General features: G+C 40.1%; 1 long non-coding RNA gene across 1 annotated transcript, besides 1 other annotated feature; it reads right to left on the bottom strand.

Moving 5' to 3' along the window:
- Positions 813-1,013: a silencer, noted in NCBI's record as "peak6156 fragment used in MPRA reporter construct". NCBI's record gives its function as "represses an SCP1 promoter by STARR-seq MPRAs in K562 erythroleukemia cells {active_cell/tissue: K562}" and the evidence as "EXISTENCE:reporter gene assay evidence [ECO:0000049][PMID:32103011]".
- Positions 18,982-22,130, bottom strand: LOC105378024 (uncharacterized). The gene is made up of 2 exons (XR_943068.3): positions 19,982-22,130; positions 18,982-19,871 (listed from the first exon to the last, which is right to left on the bottom strand). It is a non-coding gene; the product is annotated as an uncharacterized LOC105378024 (long non-coding RNA).

Raw genomic sequence — 22,130 nt, 5'->3', positions numbered from 1 at the left:
GGGGTAGCGGTGGCCATGGAGAGAGACTCCTCTACTTAAAAAGTGTGGAGGGGGCCGGGCTCAGTGGCTCATGCCTGTAATCCCAGCACTTTGGGAGGCCGAGGCGGGTGGATCACGAGGTCAGGAGATTGAGACCATCCTGGCTAACACGGCGAAACGCTGTCTCTACTTAAAAATACAAAAAATTGGCCGGGCTCGGTGGCTCACGCTTGTAATCCCAGCACTTTAGGAGGCCGAGGCGCGTGGATCACGAGGTCAGGAGATCGAGACCATCTTGGCTAACACGGTGAAACCCCGTCTCTACTAAAAATACAAAAAATTAGCCGGGCATGGTGGCGGGCGCCAGTAGTCCCAGCTACTCAGGAGGCTGAGGCAGGAGAATGGTGTGAACCCAGGAGGCGGAGCTTGCAGTGAGCGGAGATCGTGCCACAGCACTCCAGCCTGGGCGACAGAGCAAGACTCCGTCTCAAAACAAATAAATACAAAAAATTAGCCAGGCAATGGTGGCAGGCGCCTGTAGTCCCAGCTACTTGGGAGGCTGAGGCAGGAGAATCCCTTGAACCCAGGAGGCGGAGCTTGCAGTGAGCTGAGATCCAGCCACTGCACTCAAGCCTGGGCGACAGAGCAAGACTCCGTCTCAAAAAAAATAAATAAATAAGGATGGTGGGGGAGGGAAGAGTGGGAAGGACTTTGCTTTGCAGCTTGGGTTCCAGTTCAGCTGCTGTAAAACAGAGCACCAGGTAAATTCCTAAGGTTCCCAACTGCAGGCCCCGGCTCCTAGACAGCATCCCTGGTGATATGGTTTGGGTTTGTGTTCCCACCAAAATCTTGTGTCAAATTGGAATCCCCAATGTTGGAGGTGGGGCCTGACAGTAGGTGATTGGATCATGAGAGCAAATTTCCCCTTTGGTTCTGTTCTCATGATAGTCAGTGAGTTATCACAAGATCTGGTTGTTTGAAAGCATCTCCCCCACCCTCCTCCTGCTCTGGCCATGTAAGAGGTGCCTGCTTCCCCTTTACCTTCTGCCATGATTGTAAGTTTCCTGAGGCCTCCCCAGCCATGCTTCCTGTACAGGCTGAGGAACCGTGAGCCAATTAAATCTCTTTTCTTTATAAATTACCCAGTGTCAGATATTTTTTCATAGCAGTGCAAGAACAAATGAATATACCTGGACCCACCTAGGGCTGGGGGAAACACACTGCCCTGAGGGAAGGATACAAGCCCAGCAGGATTTGCCCCCTGCTGATTGTAGAGTCCTTGGGCCTTGAGTGAACATAGGCGGTACCCAGGTGTTGGTCACCATGGGCCATGGGTGAGACTCAGTGCTGTACTAGCTTCGGGTCTGACCCAGTGCTACAGGGGTGCCTGTTTTATCCTTCCCCCAGCTATAGGCAACACAGCTACAGAGAGAGAGATTCTGTTTGTTTAGAGGAAAGTGAGGGAAGAAAACAAGAGTCTCTTCCTAGTAATCCAGGGAATCCTTCCAGGTCTTACCCAAGACCACCAATGTGGTACCTCTACAAGTTGGCAAAAGCCACAGCATCACTGGGCTTGGAGTGTCCCCTAACGCAGATATGGCTGCAGCAACCAAAGACATAGATCACAACACCTAAATCTATTCAAATACCTGGAAAGCCTTCCCCAGCATGATGGTTAAAAACAAGCCCAGACTGCAAAGACTACAATAAATACCTAACTCTTCAATGCCCAGACACTGACAAACATCTACAAGCATCAAGACCATCCAGGAAAACATGACCTCACCAAATGAACTCAATAAGCTGCCAGAGACCAATCCCGAAGAGACAGATATGTGACCTTTCAACAGAGAATTCAAAATAGCTATTTTGAGTAGCTCAACGAAATCCAAGATAACACCAAGAAGGAATTCAGAATTCTATTAGATAAATGTAACAAAGGGATTGAAGTAATTTAAAAGAATCAAACTGAAATTCTGGAGTTGAAAAATGCAACTGACATGAATGCATCAGTCCCTTAACGGCAAAATTGATCAAGCAGAAGAAAGAATTAGTAAGCTTGAAGACAGTTTATTTGAAAATACAGTCAGAGCAGACAAAAGCAAAAAGCAGAAAAAAAGAATGAAGCACACAAACGAGATCTAGAAAACAGCCTCAAAAAGACAAATCTAAGAGTTATTGGTCCTAAAGAGGAGGCAGAGAGACAGATTGGGAAAGAAAGGGATAATAACAAAGAATTTCCCAAATCTAGAGAAAGTTATCAAAGTTGCAGTACAAGAAGGTTATAGAACACCAAGCAGGTTTAACCAAAATAGGACTACATCAATGTATTTAATAATCAAACTCCCAAAGATCAAGGATAAAGAAAGGATCCTGAAAGCAGCAAGAGAAAAAAAAACAATATACAAAGAAGTTCTAACACATCTAGCTGCAGACTTCTCAGTAGAAACCTTACAGGCCAGGAGGGAGTGTCACAATATATTTAACATGCTGAAGGAGAAAATCTTTTACCCTAGAATAGTATATCCAGTGAGAATATCCTTCAAACTTAAAGGGGAAATAAAGCATTTCCCAGACAAATAAAAGCTGAGGGGTTTCATCAACTTGGGATCTGTCCTACAAGAAATGCTAAAGGGAGTTCCTCAGTTTGAAAGAAAAGCATTTTAATGAGCAATAAGAAATCATCTAAAGGTACAAAACTTATTGGTAATAGTAAGTACCAGAAAAAAAACAGAATATTACAACACTGTAATTGTGGAATGTGAACTACTATATCCTGAGTAGAAACACTAAAAGATGACCCTATCAAAAATGATAGCTACAGTTTTTCAAGTATTCACAATACAGGAAGATAGAAATAACAGGAGGTTAAAAATTGAGGAGATGAAGTTAAATTACAGCATTTTTATCACTTTTCTCTTTGCTTGTTTGTTAGTTTACAAAGTCAGTGTTAAGTTGTCATCAGTTTAAAATAATGGGTTATAAGATATTATTTGCAAGCCTCATCAAAATATCATACAATACATATAATACAATATCATAGCCTCCAATCAAAAACATACAATGGATGCAAACATCAAAATATACTACCAGAGAAAATCACCTTCACTAAAAAGAAGATATTAAGGAAGGAAAGAAGAAAGAGGAGACCAAAAAACACCCAGAAAACAAATAACAAAATGACAGAAGATAAGTCCTTACTTATCAATAATAACATTGACTGTAAATGGGCTAAACTCTCCAATCAAAAGACACAGAGTGGCTGCATAGATTAAAAAAAAAAAAAAAAAAAAGACCTAATGATCTGTTGCCTATCAGAAACACACTTCACCTAAAAGGACACACATAGGCCGGGCGCGGTGGCTCACTCCTGTAATCCCAGCACTTTGGGAGGCTGAGGTGGGAGGATCACAATGTCAGGAGACCGAGACCATCCTGGCTAACACAGTGACACCCCGTCTCTACTGAAAATACAAAAAATTAGCTGGGTTTGGTGGCGGGTGCCTATAGTACCAGCTACTCAGGAGGCTGAGGCAGGAGAATGGCATGAACCCGGGAGGCAGAGCTTGCAGTGAGCTGAGATCAGGCCACTGCACTCCAGCCTGGGCGACAGAGCGAGACTCTGTCTCAAAAAAAAATAAATAAATAAACAAAGTCACAGATAGACTGAAAATAAAAAGATGGAAAATGATATTTCATGCAAACAGAAACCAAAAAAGACCAGGAATAGCTATACTTACATCAGACAAAATAGATTTCAAGACAAACACTATAAAAAGAGACATGCACACACACAAAACTATATAATGATAAAGAGGCCGATTCAGCAAGAGGATATAACAATTGTAAATACATATGCACGAAACACTAGAGCATGCAGATATATAAAGCAAATATTATTAGAGCTAAAGAGAGAGATAGATAGACCCCAGTGCAATAATAGCTGGAGACTTCAGCATACCACTTCCAGCATCAGACAGATCATCCAGACAGAAAATCAACAAAGAAACATTGTACTTAATCTGCACTATAGACCAAATGGATGTAATAGATATTCACATTTCATCCAATGGCTGTAGAATACACTTTCTTCTCCTCAGCACACGGATTATCCTATATATGGATAAACCATATATATGTTATGGATATAGATAGAGATAGATAAGTAGGTAGGTAGATAGATGATAGATGATAGATAGATAGATAGATAGATAGATAGATAGATAGATAGATGAACCATATATATGTTAGGCCGCAAAACCAGTCTTTAAAAATTCAAAAAAATTGAAACAATATTAAGTAACTTCTGTGATCACAATGGAATAAAACTGGAACTCAATAGCAACAGGAATTTTGGAAACTAAAACACATGGAAATTAAACAGTATGCTCCAGAATGACCAGTGGGTCAATGAAGAAATTAAGGAGAAAAGTTAAAAATTTCTTGAAATAAATGAAAATGGAAACCCAACATATCAAAGCCTATAGGATACAATGAAAGCACTAATAACAGAAAAGTTTATAGCAATAAGGACCTCTATGAAAAAGTAGAAAAACTGTAAGTAAACAACCTAATGATGCATCTTTTTTTTTTTTTTTTGAGATGAATTTTTGCTGTCACCCAGGCTGGAGTGCAGTGGCGCAATCTAGGCTCACTGCAAGCTCCGCCTCCCAGGTTCACTCCATTCTCCTGCCTCAACCTCCTGAGTAACTGGGACTACAGGTGCCCGCCACCACGCCCGGCTAATTTTTTTTTTTTGTATTTTTAGCAGAGACGGGGTTTCACTGTGTTAGCCAGGATGGTCTCCATCTCCTGACCTCGTGATCCACCCACCTTGGCCTCCCAAAGTGCTGGGATTACAGGCTTGAGCCACCATACCCAGCCCTAATGATGCATCTTAAAGAACTAGAAAAGCAAGAGCAAACAAAACCCAAAATTAGTAGAAGAAAAGAAATAATAAAGATTAGAGCAGAAATAAATGAAACTGAAATGAAAAAAATACAAAACATCAATGAAATAAAAAGTGGGTTTTTGAAAAGATAAACAAAAATCAACAAACATTTAGCCTAACTAATTAAGAAACAAATAGAAAAGACTCAAACAAATTAAATCAGAGATGAAAAAGGAGACATTACAACTAATGCTGCAGAAATTCAAAGGATCGTTAGAAGCTACTATGAGTAACTACATGCCAATGAATTGGAAAACCTAGAAGAAATGGAAAATTCCTAGACACACACAATCTACCAAGATTGAACCAGGAAGAAATCCAAATCCTGAACAGACCAATAACAAGTAATGAGATCGAAGCCATAATAAAATGTCTCTCAGGAAAGAAAAGCCTATGACCTGATGGCTTCACTGTTGAATTTTTGCAGACATTTAAAGAAGAACTAATACCAATTCTACTCAAACTATTCCAAAAAATAAAAGAAGAAAAAATACTACCAAACTCATTCTATGAGGCTGTTTTTACTCTGATACCAAAACCAAACAAAGACACATCAAGAAAAGAAAACTACAGGTCAATATCCCTGATGAACATTGATACAAAAATCCTCAACAAAACACTTGATACAAAAATCCTCAAAAAAACACTAGCAAACTGAACTCAACAACACATTAAAAAGATCATTCATTATGACCAGGTGGGATGTATCCCTGGAATGCAAGGATGGATCAACATATGCAAATGAATCAGTATGATACATCATATCAACAGAATGAAGGACAAAAACCATATGATCATTTCAACTGATGCTGGAAAAAGCATTTAATAAAATTCACCATCCACTTATGATAAAAACCCACAGAAACCTGAGTACAGAAGAAACAAACTTCAACATAATAAAAGCCACATATGACAGACCCAACCCTAGTATCATGCTAAATGGGGAAAAACTGAAAGTCTTTCCTCTAAGATCAGGAACATGACAAGGATGCCCATTTTCACCACTGTTATTCAATATAGTACTGGCAGTCCTGGCTAGTGCAATCAGAGAAGAGAGATAAAAGGCATCCAGTTTGGAAAGGAAGAATTCAAATAACCTTTCTTTGAAAGTGATATGATCTTATATTTGGAAAAACCTAAAGCAGGTGTCCAATATTTTGTCTTCCCTGGGCCACAATGGAAGAAGAATTGTCTTGGGCCACACATAAAAAACACTAACAGTAGATGAGCTAAAACAAAAAAATTTCAAAAAAATCTCATGTTTTAATAAAAATTACAAATTTGTATTGGGCCATATTGAAAGCTGTCTTTTGAGTCACATGTGGCCCACTGGCTGCAAGTTGGACAAGCTTGAACTAAAGACTCCACAAACACTTTTTAAAAGACATACATGTGGCCAACAATCATATGAAAAAAAGCTCAACATCATTGATCATTAGAAAAATGCAAATCAAAATCACAATGAGATACCATCTAATACCAGTTAGAATGGCTACTATTAAAAAGTCAAAAAACAACAGATGCTGGCAAAGTTGTGGAGAAAAAGAAACATTTATACACTGTTAGTGGGAGTGTAAATTAGTTAAGCAATGGTGAAAGACAGGTTGGCAATTCCTCAAAGACCTAAAGACAGAAATATCATTCCACCCAGCAATCCCATTACTGGGTATATACTCAAAGGAATGTAAGTCATTCTATTATAAAGACACATGCACACATATGTTCATTGCAGCACTATTCACAATAGCAAATGGAATCAACCTAAAGGCCCATCAATAGTAGACTAGATAAAGAAAATGTGGTACATATACAACATGGAATACTATCAGTCATGAAAAAGAATGAGATCATGTCCTTTGCAGGAACATGGATGGAGCTGGAGGCCATTATCCCTAGCAAACTAACACAGGAACAGAAAACCAAATACTGCATGTTCTCACTTATAAGTAGGAGCTAAATAATGAGAACACATGGACACGTAGAGGGGAAGAACACACAGTAGGGCCTTTCAGAGGGTAGAGAGTGGGAGGAGGGAGAGGATCAGGAAAACTAACTAATGGGTACTAGGCTTAATACCTGGATGATGAAAAAATCTGTACAAAAACCTCCACAACACAAGTTTACCTGTGTAATAAGCCTGCACATGTACCCCTGAACTTAAAAGTAAAAAAAAAAAAGACTCCACAAAAAAACTATTAGAACTGATAAACAAATTCAGTATTCAGGATACAAAATCAACATACTAAAATTAGTACCATTTCTATAGGCCAATAGTAAATAATCTGAAAAGGTAATCAAGAAAGTAATCTCATTTACAATAGCTACAAATAAAATAAAATACTGGCCGGGTGCGTTGGCTCAGGCCTGTAATCCCAGCACTTTGGGAGGCCGAGGTGGGCAGATCACTTGAGGTCAGGAGTTCAAAACCAGCCTGACCAATATGATGAAACCCCATCTCTACTAAAAATACAAAAATTAGCCAGGCATGGTGGCATGCACCTGTAATCTCAGCTACTAGGGAGTGTGAGAGAGGAGAATCGTTTGAACCTGGGAGGCGGAGGTTGTGGTGAGCTGAGATCCCACCATTACACTCCAGCCTGGGCAACAAGAGCGAAACTCCGTCTCAAAAAAAAAAAAAAAAAAGAAACACCTAGGAATTAACCAAAGAAATGAAAGATCTCTACAACGTAAAAGATTGATGAAAGAAATTGAAGAAGACATAAAAAAATGGAAAGATGTTCCACGTTCATGGATTAGAAGAATCAATAAGTTTAAATGTCCATACTATCCAAAGCACTCCACAGATATAATGCAATCCCTATCAGAATACCAATGACATTTTTCACAGAAATAGAAGAAAACAATCAAAAAATTTATATGGAATCACAAAAGACCCACAATAGACAAACCTATACTAAGAAAAATGAATGAAACTGGAGGAATCAAATTACTTGACTTCAAATTATACTACACAGCTATAGTAACTAAAACAACATGGTACTGGCAAACAAGATCCCCAAAAATGTCTTCTTTAGGAAGTAACTTCTGCCTGCCCAGAGCACTGGCTATGGGAAGTCAAGGCCTCAAAGATCTTGATGCTGAGCATAACCATACTCATTTTAGCCTGGATTAAAAAAAAAAAAATCAGTAAAGGATCAATGAAACTTATTTTCTTTATCTCTGTAACACAAGGGATAAATGCTTGAGGTGATGAATACCCCATATACTCTGATGTGATTATTATGCATTGTATGCCTGTATCAAAATATTTCATGTGCCCCATAAATATATACACCTACCATGTACCTACAAAAATTAAAACTAAAACTAAAACTAAAATTTTACAAAATTCTCCCTGAGGAGGCTGAGCATGAGCCCAGGAGTTCAAGACTAGCCTGGGCATCATGGCAAAACTCTGTCTCTATTTTTTATTTATTTATTTATTTATTTATTTATTTATTTATTTTATTTTTTTTTTTTGAGACGGAGTCTCGCTCTGTCGCCCAGGCCGGACTGCGGACTGCAGTGGCGCAATCTCGGCTCACTGCAAGCTCCGCTTCCCGGGTTCACGCCATTCTCCTGCCTCAGCCTCCCGAGTAGCTGGGACTACAGGCGCCCGCCACCGCGCCTGGCTAATTTTTTGTATTTTTAGTAGAGACGGGGTTTCACCTTGTTAGCCAGGATGGTCTCGATCTCCTGACCTCATGATCCACCCGCCTCGGCCTCCCAAAGTGCTGGGATTACAGGCGTGAGCCGCCGCGCCCGGCCTCTATTTTTTATTAAAAAAAAAAAAAAAAATTCTGCCTGAGGACCAGAGGCCAGCCAGTGCGTGCTATAGAAATGAATGTTGACCATTACTTCTGCTTGGGGCTTCTAAACCTAGGCTGAATACAAGCTGTGCAATTGAACATATACTTAGTTTCACTTTTTGGAAACAGAGCTTAAAATATATATACAAGGGGTAGCATAAGAGGAGTTACATTGCACTCCTTGGTAAACAACAGGAAGCACAAGAGATACAATTCCATTGTCCCACTAAATGCTAAGGGTCACACAGAGCTTTACTTCCTAAATGACGTAAAACAATCTAATGAAAAGTGTATTCAACCATAGTTTTTCAAAAGAGGAAAAGTGTTCTCCAAAAAGTCACTTTTACATATAATCCTTTATAAAAGATGGGCCGGGCATAGTGGCTCACATCTGTAATCCCAGCACTTTGGGAGGCCAAGGCGGGTGGATCACCTGAGGTTAGGAGTTCAAGACCAGCCTGGCCAACACTGTGAAACCCCATCTCTACTAAAAATACAAAAATTAGCTGGTGTTGGGCACCTGTAGTCCCAGCTACTCAAGAGGCTGAGACAGGAGAATTGCTTGAACCCAGGAGGCGGAGGTTGCAGTAAGCCAAGATTGCGCCATTGCACTCCAGCCTAGGTGGCAGAGTAAGACTCCGTCTCAAAAATAAGTAAATGAAACAAAAGATGATGGAGTGGTGTGAAACTGCAATTCTGCAAGGACACTTCTAGAGGAGGGAAGGTAATGTAGTACATGTATACATATTCTTAATCATGTGGCTTGATACAAGTCTGAACATTTAAAAATCTAGAGTAATGAATTATTATGCACATTAAGTTATCTTTCTTATCTCTCTGCATCAGCCAGGCCTTTACAAGTAGCTATGCTGTCATTTATAGTGGTTGAAGTTATATGGGGAGCCTAGAATGTAGTTTTTCTGTGTTGTTGATAAAATGGAGAGCTTCGTGTTTTAGATAACTGGTATGTAGGTGGCAATGATCTGTTTCAAAAATCAAAGCTTCTTGTCTAAAAAGAGAGCCTACCCATAATCTTCAGGGAGGTAGATGGTCAAACCAAAATTTCTCTTTGAAAACAGTTTTGAATATAGTGAAAACTTTAAACAAGAACATAAAACCCCATAGTTCTACAACATAAAGCAGGCAAACTATAGCTCATTAATTAACCAAATTCCCTTGCCACCTGTTTTTGTAAATAAAGTTTTATTGAAATGCAGCTATCCCCCTTAGCTTATACACTGTCCATTCATAGACATTACATCACAATGGAGAGTTGAATAGTTACAACAGAGAACATTTGGCCCACAAAACCTAAAATATTTACTATCTGGCCCTTTACAGAAAAAGTTTGCCAACCCCTGCCAGACAGCAGAGAGATCATCCAATTCTGAAGGGGTTTGAGGGCCGTAGTTACTTCCCCATCATCAATTTTCACTATAAAGTCATTTAATATAGCCTTTGTCAACTTTTTTATTTTAAGCGTTGCAACATTGTTATGGGCTCCCACTATGAATTAGATGCAAAATTCACATCCAGAAAAGCTAAGTGAATTACTCTTCAGATGGTGATTTCAGTGGAATAAAAACAGAGACTGTGCTTCATCCAACCACTAGTTTCCATCTAATTTGAATCAATAATTTAATGATACTTTTCTATAATTTTGACTCATTTCTTTCTGTTCTAGAGAATAGAAAAATAGATATTCTCTTATAAGGAGACACCAAATTAATTGGCATGAACAGCAAGTGGCTGCAGGTCAAGCTTGCCCTGACCAATGCCAAAAAAGACAACAAATGGATAGTTTTAAAACCAAAGGCATCTTTTGGGTAGGCATCCCCTTCCGCATACCTGATTTATAGTTAATCAGCCTGTGCACCTAGTTAGTCATCAGTTGTATAAATATAAATTTGGTGGCTAGTATACTAGCCAGTATATCAGACAGTTATGTTTCTCAAAAATGAAAGTTTCACTGATCCTTTTTTTAAAAAAATAATTCAGGCTAAAATGAGTATGGTCGTGCTCAGTGTTAAAATCTTTGAGATCTTTATGTTCCATAGCCAGTGCTCTGGGCAGACAGAAATTACTTCCTAAAGAGGACATTGTGGTCAGGCACATCGGCTCACGCCTGTAATCCCACCACTTTGGGAAGCCAAGGTGGGCAGATCACTTGAGGCCAGGAGTTCGAGACCAGCCTGGACAACATGGCGAGACCCCATCACTACTAAAAACACAAAAATTAGCTGGGCATGGTGGTGCACACCTGTAGTCCCAGCTACTCAGGAGGCTGAGGCAGGAGAATGGCTTGAACCCAGGAGGTGGATGTTGCAGTGAGCCAAGATCGTGCCACTGCACTCCAGCTTGGGTTACAGAGTGAGACCCTATCTCAAAAAAGGAGATTGCAGGTGACCTTGACTTACAGACTTTTCTGTATTAATAGCAAGAAAGCTTAGAGACACTCTCCCGGCCAGCCTCAGTGGGCACACAAGCCCTTACAAAGCACAATGAGTCTAACTCACTCCTGCTGTCACTTAATTTTCTGCATCTTATTTTCCTGGTGTCCTACTTTCCTCACCCACTTATTTTTCACTTCATTTTATCTTGTGTGGTATTAATAGGTAATCCACCTTAAATCCTTTCTGGAACAAGGCAGGGTATAAGTAAACAAGTAGAAGTGAACTGGCCTGTTGAATAGAGTTATTTAGTATTGTCCATCTGAACACTAAAAGAAAAAATCTACCAAAAACAACTATTTTGTTTTGGCATGGTAGCTTCTGAGGTTTTCTTTCAAGTAAAATTGCTCCACAGGTTCAGGGGCTTCTTGTTGCTCCCGCAGGCCCGTAATATTAGGACTCTACAGCTAGAGAGAGGAAGATGTTCATCTCTGCTGTGGCAGGAAAATGGGCGAACCAATCCCATTGCAGCTGCAACAGATGAGATACAGAGTATAAAGATTGCTGCATACATCCTCTCTTCAGTCTCTCTTGGGGGACTGAGGGTAGAGGAGAATGGGGGTCTTAGGAATTAGCATTTGAATAGTGCTCTACAGTTTGCAAAGAAGTTTTTTGTTTTGTTTTGAGACGGAGCCTTGCTCTGTTGCCCAAGCTGGAGTGCAGTGGCATGATCTTGGCTCACCGCAACCTCTGCCTCCCGGGTTCAAGTGATTCACCTGCCTCAGCCTCCCGAGTAGCTGGGACTAAAGGCACCCGCCACCATGCCCAGCTTATTTTTATATTTTTAGTAGAGATGGGGTTTCACTATGTTGGCCAGGCTGGTCTCGAACTCCCGACATTATGATCTGCCCTCCTCGGCCTCCCAAAGTGCTGGGATTACAGGCGTGAGCCACTGCCCAGCCTGCAAAGAAGTTTATATACATGGCTTCTTAATCCTTACAATACCATGTTAATTTGGTTTATGACATTTATAATAGTTTACATTTGAGGGAACTGGAACTTCCAGAAGGCAAGTAAAGTGAGCAGAGGAACCAGGATTGAAACCTAGTATATGAGGCCACAGCATACACGCTTTATTTCTCTGTGCTTTCCCTAGCCTTTCAACCTATTTCTAATCATTTGATCCAGCTATTATAAAGTCTAGAAGCCTGCGATATGATGGGTCATCATAAAAGGCTTTGGAGTGACACCCGAGGCTAAACATCAGATTTTTCATTTTCTATAAGTTACTTTAGGTCACTGCATTAGTTTCCTAAGGCTGCTGTAACAAATTGCCACAAACTGAGTAGCTTAGAACAACAGAAATTTATTCTCTCACAGTTCTGGAGGCCAGTCAAGCCTGAAATCAAAGTGTCGGCAGGGACACACGCCCTCCAAAGGCTTTAGGGGAAAACCCCTTCCTTGCCTCTTCGACTTCTGGTGGCTGTGGATACTCCTTGGCATGTGGCTGCATCACTCCAATCTCTGCTTCCATAGTCACATCGCCTCTTCCTTTTCGCTATGTCTTTCTCGGTGCATCTTTCTTATAAGAATATGTGTGATTGCATTTAGGACCTCTTTAGGATAAGCTCCTCTTCTCAAGATCTGTAACTTAATCACATCTTTTTTTGCCATATATGTTAATAGTCACAGGTTCTAGGGACTGGAATATGGATATATCTTTTGGGGGACACCTTCAACCCACTAAAGTCACTGAGCTTCAGTTATGCCCCACCTTCCATAAAAATTAGAATTTCATTACTTAAAATAATCTAAATAAACCAGGTGCATTGATTCACACCTGTAATCCAAGGACTTTGGGAGATTGATGTGGGAGGATCACTTGAGCTCAGGAGTTCGAGACCAGCCTGGGCAACACAGTGAGACCCTGTCTCTACAAAAAAGTCAAAAAAATTAGCCAGGTGTGGTGGTGTGCACCTGTAGTCCCACCTACTCGGGAGGCTGAGGTGAGAGGATCCGCTTGAGCTTGGAATTCAAAGCTGCAGTGAGCTGAGACTGTGACACTGCCCTCCAGCCTGGGTGACTGAGCAAGACCTTGTCTCGAAAACAAAAGATAATCTCAATAAAAGTGCCTACATATAAGAGTGCTCAATAAAAAGGTTTTATCCCCTTTTTCTCATCAAGAGAGCTTCTAGTACAATCACACTGCTTTTAAAATTATTTTCCTCATTTGTTCCATTGGGATAATTCCCAAATATATATTCACATTCTCCCTCTTTCCTTTTCTCAAGCTGTATTCACGGTCAGGACAAAAGGCAGTAAAGTTTTCTAATTCTATTTTATTATGAACTAGGAAAGTGCCTCTCAAAGTATCTGTGGTAAGGGATCAGTTTTAGTTTCATATAATAAAATAAAAATGTTGTGGTGATAAAAATCACTGTAAAAGTTTCCAATACTTACTTTCATCTTGATGCAGACCAATAAGAATTTGTGGAACTATCCTGTCCAAGAACTTCATTTCAAGGAGTACAAGCAGGACCACATACATGACCTTCTATAGTCTAGGCTCCAAGACTTTGGTTACTCCCTCGTTATTACCCCTCAGAATCTCCATATTGACATTCAACTCTCTTGTATGCTCTCTTATTTATAGAGATTTAAAATGTCAACATTAAAAGTTAGGCATTTACCAAATACTTTAATTTGAGCAAAATTAACTTTTTCAAAGATAATCAAATTCTCCCCTTACTGCCAAGGGTTACTCGTACCAAGATGTAACACCAAAAACACAATATCCATTTCCTCCCTCCTCCACCATGGTCTTGAGGTGTATATAGCAGTATAACTAATTTCTCATTTGCTTTATTTGCTTTACCTTTTTTTGCTTTGTCTCCACCTTGATATATATCTTAGTTATACATGGCACTAATCTCGTTTCTCCTATAGAATAAGTTTTTGAATAAAGTATGTCTTTCTCTTAATTTTTTTTTTTTTTTTTTTTTTGGAGATAGAGTCTTGCTCTGTCGCCCAGGCTGGAGTGCAGTGGCATTATCTTGGCTCACTGCAACCTCTGCCTCCCAGGTTCAAGCAATTCTCCTGCCTCAGCCTCCCAAGTAGCTGGGATTACAGGTGCCCGCCACCACGCCCAGCTAATTTTTGCATTTTTTAGTAGAGATGGGGTTTCACCATGTTGGACAGGCTGGTCTCAAACTCCCCTCAGGTGATCTGCCCACCTTGGCCTCCCAAAGTGCTGGGATTACAGATGTGAGCCACCGTGCCTGGCCTCTCTTAATATTTTTTTAGGCTGAATTTTATCCCATTCAGTCTTAGTGCTCTCAATAACATTATATTTACTTTTTGCTTTAAAACTTTGAGCTCATTTTGTCACCTCCTTTCTGTTGACATAAGATAGCTTCCTAAAGACATAAAGATTATTCTAAGCGAAATTCTCTGTTATTTGTCGAATGAAGGAAAGAATGATCATTACCAGGGACCACTTTCACTGTACAAATTCTTTTTCTGTCATGCTCACTGTCCTTGTTACCTAGCTGGTAGTTGGTCTTGATTTTTCTCCCTCCCCTTTATCCATTCATCCTTGTTAAATATGCTCTCCACTTTGATCTGTTGCCCTTTCCATCTTCAGTAGTACATCTTTCTGATGTTGCTGTCATGATCCAGAAGACGAATTCTTTCCTTTAGATGCCTTCTACGTAACCAGCTATTACCCTCCTTTCTCCTTTCCTTTCCAGTCACGACTACAAATTGGAAGCAAAAAAAACAAAACAAAACAAAATCCCAACCATCTCCCAGCTTTTTTCATTTTTCTACCTAATCCTAGAGATGCACTGCAAATCCTTATGACTGTAGCATTTGTTTCTCATGAACCATCAGAGTAGTGGAGACAGGGGAGTTTGGTAAGTCTTGGCAGGCTCTCTATGCTATCCAGAGGCACATCCTCAGATCTCCAAGAAGACAGCACTCAGACTGATGACCACACTAGGTTTGTAGACAGGCCCCTTCACCCAGCCAGCAGAGAGCTACAAATCATTAGGAAATGTGTTTTTAGTTGATTGAGACGATACAGTTCCATCATTTAAATGCTTAGGAATCTCTTCGAATCTCTTGGAGGCTGGAATAATGCCTTCTCTTGAGTATGTCTGAAATCACTGTTCAAGAGAAGGGCCTCCATGCCCCCTAATTTCCTCTTGCTCATCCCCAGCTGTGTCACAAAGGGACCTTTTCTTCCTCCCTATACACCCTAGGTATTTAACTTGCTTTAAGAAAAAAAAAAAGCTGTCCCCTCCTACTCTATAACCCATGATTTGTTTCTCTTCAAGGTAGGCTCTCCCCAGGGTAGACTGCAATGTATAATATGATTCTCCAACCTCCTCCCTTTCTTGTTATAACCCAGAATAAGCACACAGGTTCTTCCATTTTTAAAGATAGTATGGAAAAGTAGATGGAGATAATGACAATAAACATGAAAAAGTTACCCCCCAAAAAATCAAGTAATTGAAGAGTTATCCTAGTTATGTTCTTTGGTATGTAATTACTGACTCCCTTTTTATCTAGGATACTCAGAGTGAAGTCTTACCAATTTTTAATATCTTCTACAACCTATGTTATAATATTTGTTCCTGGTGTGGGGCTTTCCAACTTGATCAATATGGCATTCCTATGGGAACCTTATTTGGGGACAAAGATGATAAATAGCTAAAGATTTATTTTCTGCACTTCAGGATATCCTACTCTGAATTTGCAGGTACGTCCTAACTCTTCTTGAGTCTAGCCCAGTCTTCTAATCCTTCAAGTTCTTCTTTGTGTCTGTTTTATTACCCCAGAGGGAAAAGGGCCTTACTAATTTGCTCCCTGAGGACTCTTCCCCAGTATGCCTGTCTTCCCTGACCAGTAGTCCTGTTGTTCCCCATTCTGTGAAATCTGCCCTATGCAGTGCTGGCAGCAAACTCACCAACCAGGTGAGGTGAGTTCTACTTATAGCCAATGTTTGTTTTGTCACCGTCTGTTCTGAGACACCGTCTGGGTGCAGTTTCACTGGTCTTATTTATCCCTGATGATTCTCATCATTTTACTAGCAGCTAAGACCAGCTGCTTAATTTGCAGGCCAGTGCAAAATGAAAACGTGATAGCCCCTTATTCAAAGAGTGTTAAAATTTTCCAGACAGCGGCAGGGCTCGGTGGCTCACGCCTGTAATCTCAGCACTTTGGGAGGCCAAGGAGGGCGGATCACCCTGAAGTCAGGAGCCTGGCCAACATGGCGAAACCCCGTCTCTACTAAAAATACAAAAATTAGTTGGGCATGGTAGCGTGCCTGTAATCCCAGCTACTCAGGAGGCTGAGGCAGGAGAATCACTTGAACCCAGGAGGCGGAGGTTGCAGTGAGCTGAGATCGTGCCACTGAACTCCAGCCTGGGCGACAGAGCAAGACTCGATCTCAAAAAAAAAAAAAAAAGTCCAGACAGCAAGAGTACAGCATTAAACAAAGTACAGAGTGTATGTGACTGCTCAAGTTTGCACTCCCACAAAGTCGGCCTTACTAGAAGCATATCTTTTTGGAATCCTGTTCTAATAGTCTTCAACCTTGTGTGATCTTCTTTGCCTCAGGGTACTCTCTTTGGCAAACGTCACCATAATCATGTTTCAGATTGAATGAATTTGCAGTAAGAAAGGTTGACCTCTCTTTGACTAGTTAATCATCTAGCCCTATTCAGGTCAAGTTGTTGGTTCTGCTACCCCCTAAATTCTCAGAGATGACTCACAGTGTGTTTCATTCTCAGGAGAAAGATCCTTGTAGAATTAACCGTCTTTAATATGAAAGTAATTTTAGTCGTTCAACAATCAAGGTGTTGACAGCTGGAGAAGCATGTATCCCAGAATATGAGCCTGCATGTTTCACAATTATAGTGGAGTTGGAACCACTCCCACACAACCATGAAACTGTTCTGATCATGGGGTTGAGATCGTCTAACTCTCAAGGCCCTATGGAAAGATCACAAACTGAAGATCATAGGAAAGCTCAGGCTGATTCAAGATTGTGTTACTATACCTGATACAACAGTGCCAGTACATGCTTCATCCTCCCTCACCTCAAATTCTTCACCATTGGCTGAAATTCTGGAATGCCCCTCCAAGCTGCCCATTACTCTTGGACAACACAATGAGGAGGAGGAAAAGACACTCTGCTCATCCTAGAAATTCCTGAAGAGACAGGTTATCCAAAGGCAATGACCTTTCCCACCTCTCATTGACAGACCATTGGAAGGGATAATATTCTCAGTGAAATTTGCCTGTCTACATAGGCAGTAATGGTGGATATCAAATTAGCCTTTTCACCCTTTGAAGGCAATAGGTTATCATGGAAAAGAGTATGGATTTGGAGTAATATAGACCTTCCTAGGCTGCTAGCTGTTACATTTTTGACATTGGTTGGGTCACCTAACCCCCCTAGACCTTTATTTCTTCATCTGTGAAATGGGGATAATGATACCCATCCTACAGGGCTGCAAGGAGAATATACTGGGATCCTGGCACATAGGTAGCTCTTAACAAATGCAGTTCTCTTCCCCATTAATTCCTTACTCGAATGCCGTATATAAAATTACAATGTGGTGCACCATTAAAATTGTTACTCTAACACAGAAAATGAGTAATTATTTAAATTCTTATTTAGATTCCAAATATTCTAGTTAAACTCCAGTGCAGCTAGCTCCAGAAGTTAAGTCCACCAGAGAGTAAGTTTGGGGCTCTTCCTGATCAACACAAGTTTTTTTGTTTTTTGTTTGTTTGTTTGTTTGTTTTGGGATGGAGTCTCTCTGTCACCCAGGCTGGAGTGCAATGGCACGATCACAGCTCACTGCAACCTCTGCTTCTCAGGTTCAAGTAACTCTCCTGCCTCAGCCTCCCAAGTAGCAGGGATTACAGGTGCATGCCACCACACCCAGCTAATTTTTGTATTTTTAGTAGAGACAGGGTTTTCCTATGTTGGCCAGGCTGGTCTCAAACTCCTGACCTCAAGCTATCCACCCACCTCGGCCTCCCAAAGTGCTAGGATTACAGGCATGAGCCACCACAACTGGCCTTCAACACAAGCTTTTGAAGCGACTTTTATACATGAAGGAGAATGAAGCTCTCTTCCGTATGATATTAAGAATGTGGGTTTGTTACGATAAATACTTACTAGGGCCCTCCAAATCAAGTATTCTATTTATTCCTAGAATTATCAATAAATGAATTTATACTATTCGTTCAACCACGTATATACTACATTAAGAACAGCAGAGGAAAAAACAACATCTTATCAACCTATTGTGTGAACACCCAAATAATACTTAATGTTTTGGGATACACTTGTAAACTTTTCCTGGCAATGTGACTGCAAAGGTCCTTCCCAAAATGGTCTAATTTATCTGTGCAGTTCCAAGAATAAAAGGTTTTGGCTAGAATATAAGCTTTTAAGACTTCCTCAAAACAAAATCCTATAGCCCAAACCCAGCAAAATAAAATTCCTGAAGTAGTAAGAGTTTTCCATAGATCACAGCAAACCAATCATGCATAGAAGAGCTGACACAGCCAAAGACTTGCTAAGGAAAGGAAGAGAGACAAGAGGGGGACTTAAGAAAGAAAAGAAAGGAAGGAAACTTACTTTCTCCTTTCTGGTATATTTAATTTTTATGAAAAATTTTCAAACTGCTCAACCCTAGGTGAAGATTCAATCAGATAATTAACTTTGAAAAGCTTTTCCAATCCTGGACAGTAATGGAGTTGGGCAAGATGGTGTTTGTTTGGGGACCCCACTGGGAAATAATAAATTATTGGTGATTAGTGGCACTTTATATGCTGTTGGCCATTAACATTTTTTATTCTTGAGTCACAACGGAAGCTACAGCTTGAATTTTATTGTTCAGTTTGCTTTTTTCTTTCCTGGGTGAGCCAGCATTGGATTTAGGAGTTGAAAGTTTATAGAGTCAGCAGGACCCCAAGGGACAGAGCTAAGCCGAGCCAATGAGGATAATGCCCAAGATTATCTATCCTCCATGGAAATGCAGGATTCAGAAAGAAAAAGAAAGTAGAGCGATTATAAAGAATGACAGCCTGTAACTTCAACAAAATTTCTTGGCTAGCTTGATAAGTCTTCTTTTTTAAAAATAAACAAACAGAAAGTTTCCTGGTTGACAGTTGCTTAAACTCTTCCTTTTTCCACTTTTGGCACACTGTTGAAAGAACAAACTGGTGACTTCCCATAGGACTGCAAGAATGAATCTTCAGAAGCTGCAGCAGCTCTAACTGTTAGAAACAGAAGGTGGAGAGTTAAGGCGCTTCAGGGGGTAGGAAGGAGATTTTTGCTCAGCAAATGATAGGTTTTGTTGGTGTTGACATTTTTTCTTTTTCCCTCTGTGTCCTTAAAGAAGTCCTCTAACTTGGGCCTTGGGCCTCACCTAAACAATATTTTTGTGATGTTTTCAAGCACATTTTCATTACACTTTAAAAAACCATACTTGTCATTTTTCCCAGCCTTCACAGTGACTGAAAATAGAGCAAAATACAAGATTTTTACGGTAACAGTTGATCATACTGAAATCTAATATGGTTATTGCTTATTCCGTACATGCTTTTCTTTAGCCTTAGTTTCTCCTCTGTAAAAGGGAGAGCACTTCTAGGTTCATGAAGGCATCAGGTACAAAGTATGAGATTTACACAGACCAAGACCGAATATCTTTCAGGAATCTGAAACAAAAGCAAAAATAGTAAACAAACAAAAAATAACTCCAGGGAGTATTTGATTATAGTCCCTTGTTTCACCTACTGCAGCTGCTGCGATAAAGGAGATTCTGTACCTCCAGGCCCAGAAGTGGAGTTGTACCTTCTCCCCTTGAGTAGTTCTACTTAAAGCTTGGGTAGATTCCTCTCTATTTTTCTCTGTGTCCCAATTTCCTGTAAACAATAAAACTGTAAAACAAAGAGTAATATAAGATCTGAATCTTCCTGCTGGGGACTTGATGAAGATGAATTAGGCACTGACAGTCAGGAAAAGATGGAAGGCTCTGCATGACAGAGGGCAAACTAATTCAAAATGAAAATCATCAATTTGACTGTGTTCACATGTTACTTAAAAATCAATGAAGAAACAAAGTGAAGGAACCCTGAAGCCATTTTAGCACCCCCGCTTTTGCACTCAACTCTAACTTAGCAGCCTTGAAATATCTTGGCTCTGAAAACCCAGTCAATCATCATTAATAATGATATTTTTATAGCACTTTAAAAATTGGAATTTCCAGAGCCACTTTGATAGATGCCTTGTCACTACCTTGCCATTTGCGTAATTTTTTCTGGGCTGCTTTTCCCCCCCTTCTTCCATTAAAAGAATGTTTTAACAGAAAAAGAAGGAGAAATTTATTTTGATTGAAAAATTCATAAGAGATGACACAGTTTGCCCTGTGCTATGAATTCCTTATAATAAGGAAAGTATTTAGTGATTTGTACAAGGACTTTCGACTTTAATGATTCTAGAACTTGAGTTTACTTAAGGAGTTAAAACAAATGCCTGCCTGTTGCCTTCAGTTGTGGAATAAGAGTTCACTGAGTTTGCACAAAGATGGAAAAGATTAGAAGCAAAGGCTGGGTTGTTTTCTCTAATATGCAAGCATCTCAAGCAACTTACCTCTTTGTTATCTCACTACAAACCACAGAAATTACTTGCTACCTTTAACGTGTCCTTCTCATAGAGCTCAGAAATAGTCCTTCCAAAGATTTCAATTCATTATGTTGTAAATAAAGTAGTTGAAATTTCCTTGGCTTCTGGCTGTATTTATCTGTCTATCGGTCTCTCTCTCTCTCTCTCTCACTGTCTCATACACAGGCACAGATACAGACACACACGCACACACAACTGAGTATTCCTGGCCTTTGAAAATGCAGATGAAATTTCTTATTTCTCTTGTAACTTCCACAAAACCATGCAAGCTTATGAGATTCCTTGGCAAACTCCAACTTTGAAAGGGAACGCTAACAATTCATGTTTAACCTCTGAGCCAAAGAAAGCCTGAATTTTTCAAAAGTTTGTGTTTGTTTGGTTTTGTTCTTTTGTTTTTCTTTTTCTTGTAGCCTCTTTTCTTCTTCCCCTTCCAAAAGACTGCACAGTAATTTTTAGCACCATTGGGGGCCTAATACTGGTGGTGAAAAAGCAAGTTCCTGTCCTGGTGTTGAACTAAAAAGAAATAAATGTCTTAGACATATCAAGTTTCTTTGTCAAGCAAACAAAAATAAAGGGATCTAGTTTACTGGAATAGTTGCAGTGCTCATTAAAATTGATGACTTCGAAGATTCTGTGCCTCCTTCCTTTAACCAGGGCCATCAGCCAAGAATCTGCTGTGCTATTAAAGACATCATATTATTGGGGTGTCGTAAAACTGGCCACTGTTGTTGCCTACACTCACCCTTCGGGTTACAGAGTGACTGCAAGAGAGATTTGGGGTGACTAGAGGCCAATGGACCTAGCCATTTGGCCAAGGGGCGTCAATGGTATGGGACCTAAGATGCAGCCTGGTATTTTCTATCCATAAACATCAAGTTTGAAAAAGAAAGAAAGGAGCTGGATTAGCATGGGGTGGAGTTCAGTTTTTCTTAGAAATGTGCGACTCTGCAAAAGTGTGCCTTTATTTTTGGCACAAATTGCTATAGCAAATTACATAGCTTATCAGATGTGGTTTTTTGGGCTCAGTGGAGAAACCACTGCAGGGACTTGTCTTTGTTCTTCATTCCCAGTTGGGAATTTGGGATAAATCAGTGTCCTGTTATAATTCAGGAACAAACTTGAATAATAAGTGCTAACAATATTTGTGATGCAATTAAACTCACATTACTCTAACTTAACAAAGTAGACCTTAGTCTTAAAGAGATTTCCATTCTCCCTAAGAGATGTGAGATATAACATTTGGGCCAGGCGCAGTGGCTCACGCCTGTAATCCCAGCACTACGGGAGGCCAA

Source organism: Homo sapiens, chromosome 6 (assembly GCF_000001405.40).
Source record: "Homo sapiens chromosome 6, GRCh38.p14 Primary Assembly".
Lineage (NCBI taxonomy): Eukaryota > Metazoa > Chordata > Mammalia > Primates > Hominidae > Homo > Homo sapiens.
Note: the sequence above shows the minus strand (reverse complement) of the source record. Positions and strands in the feature narration are given on the sequence as shown.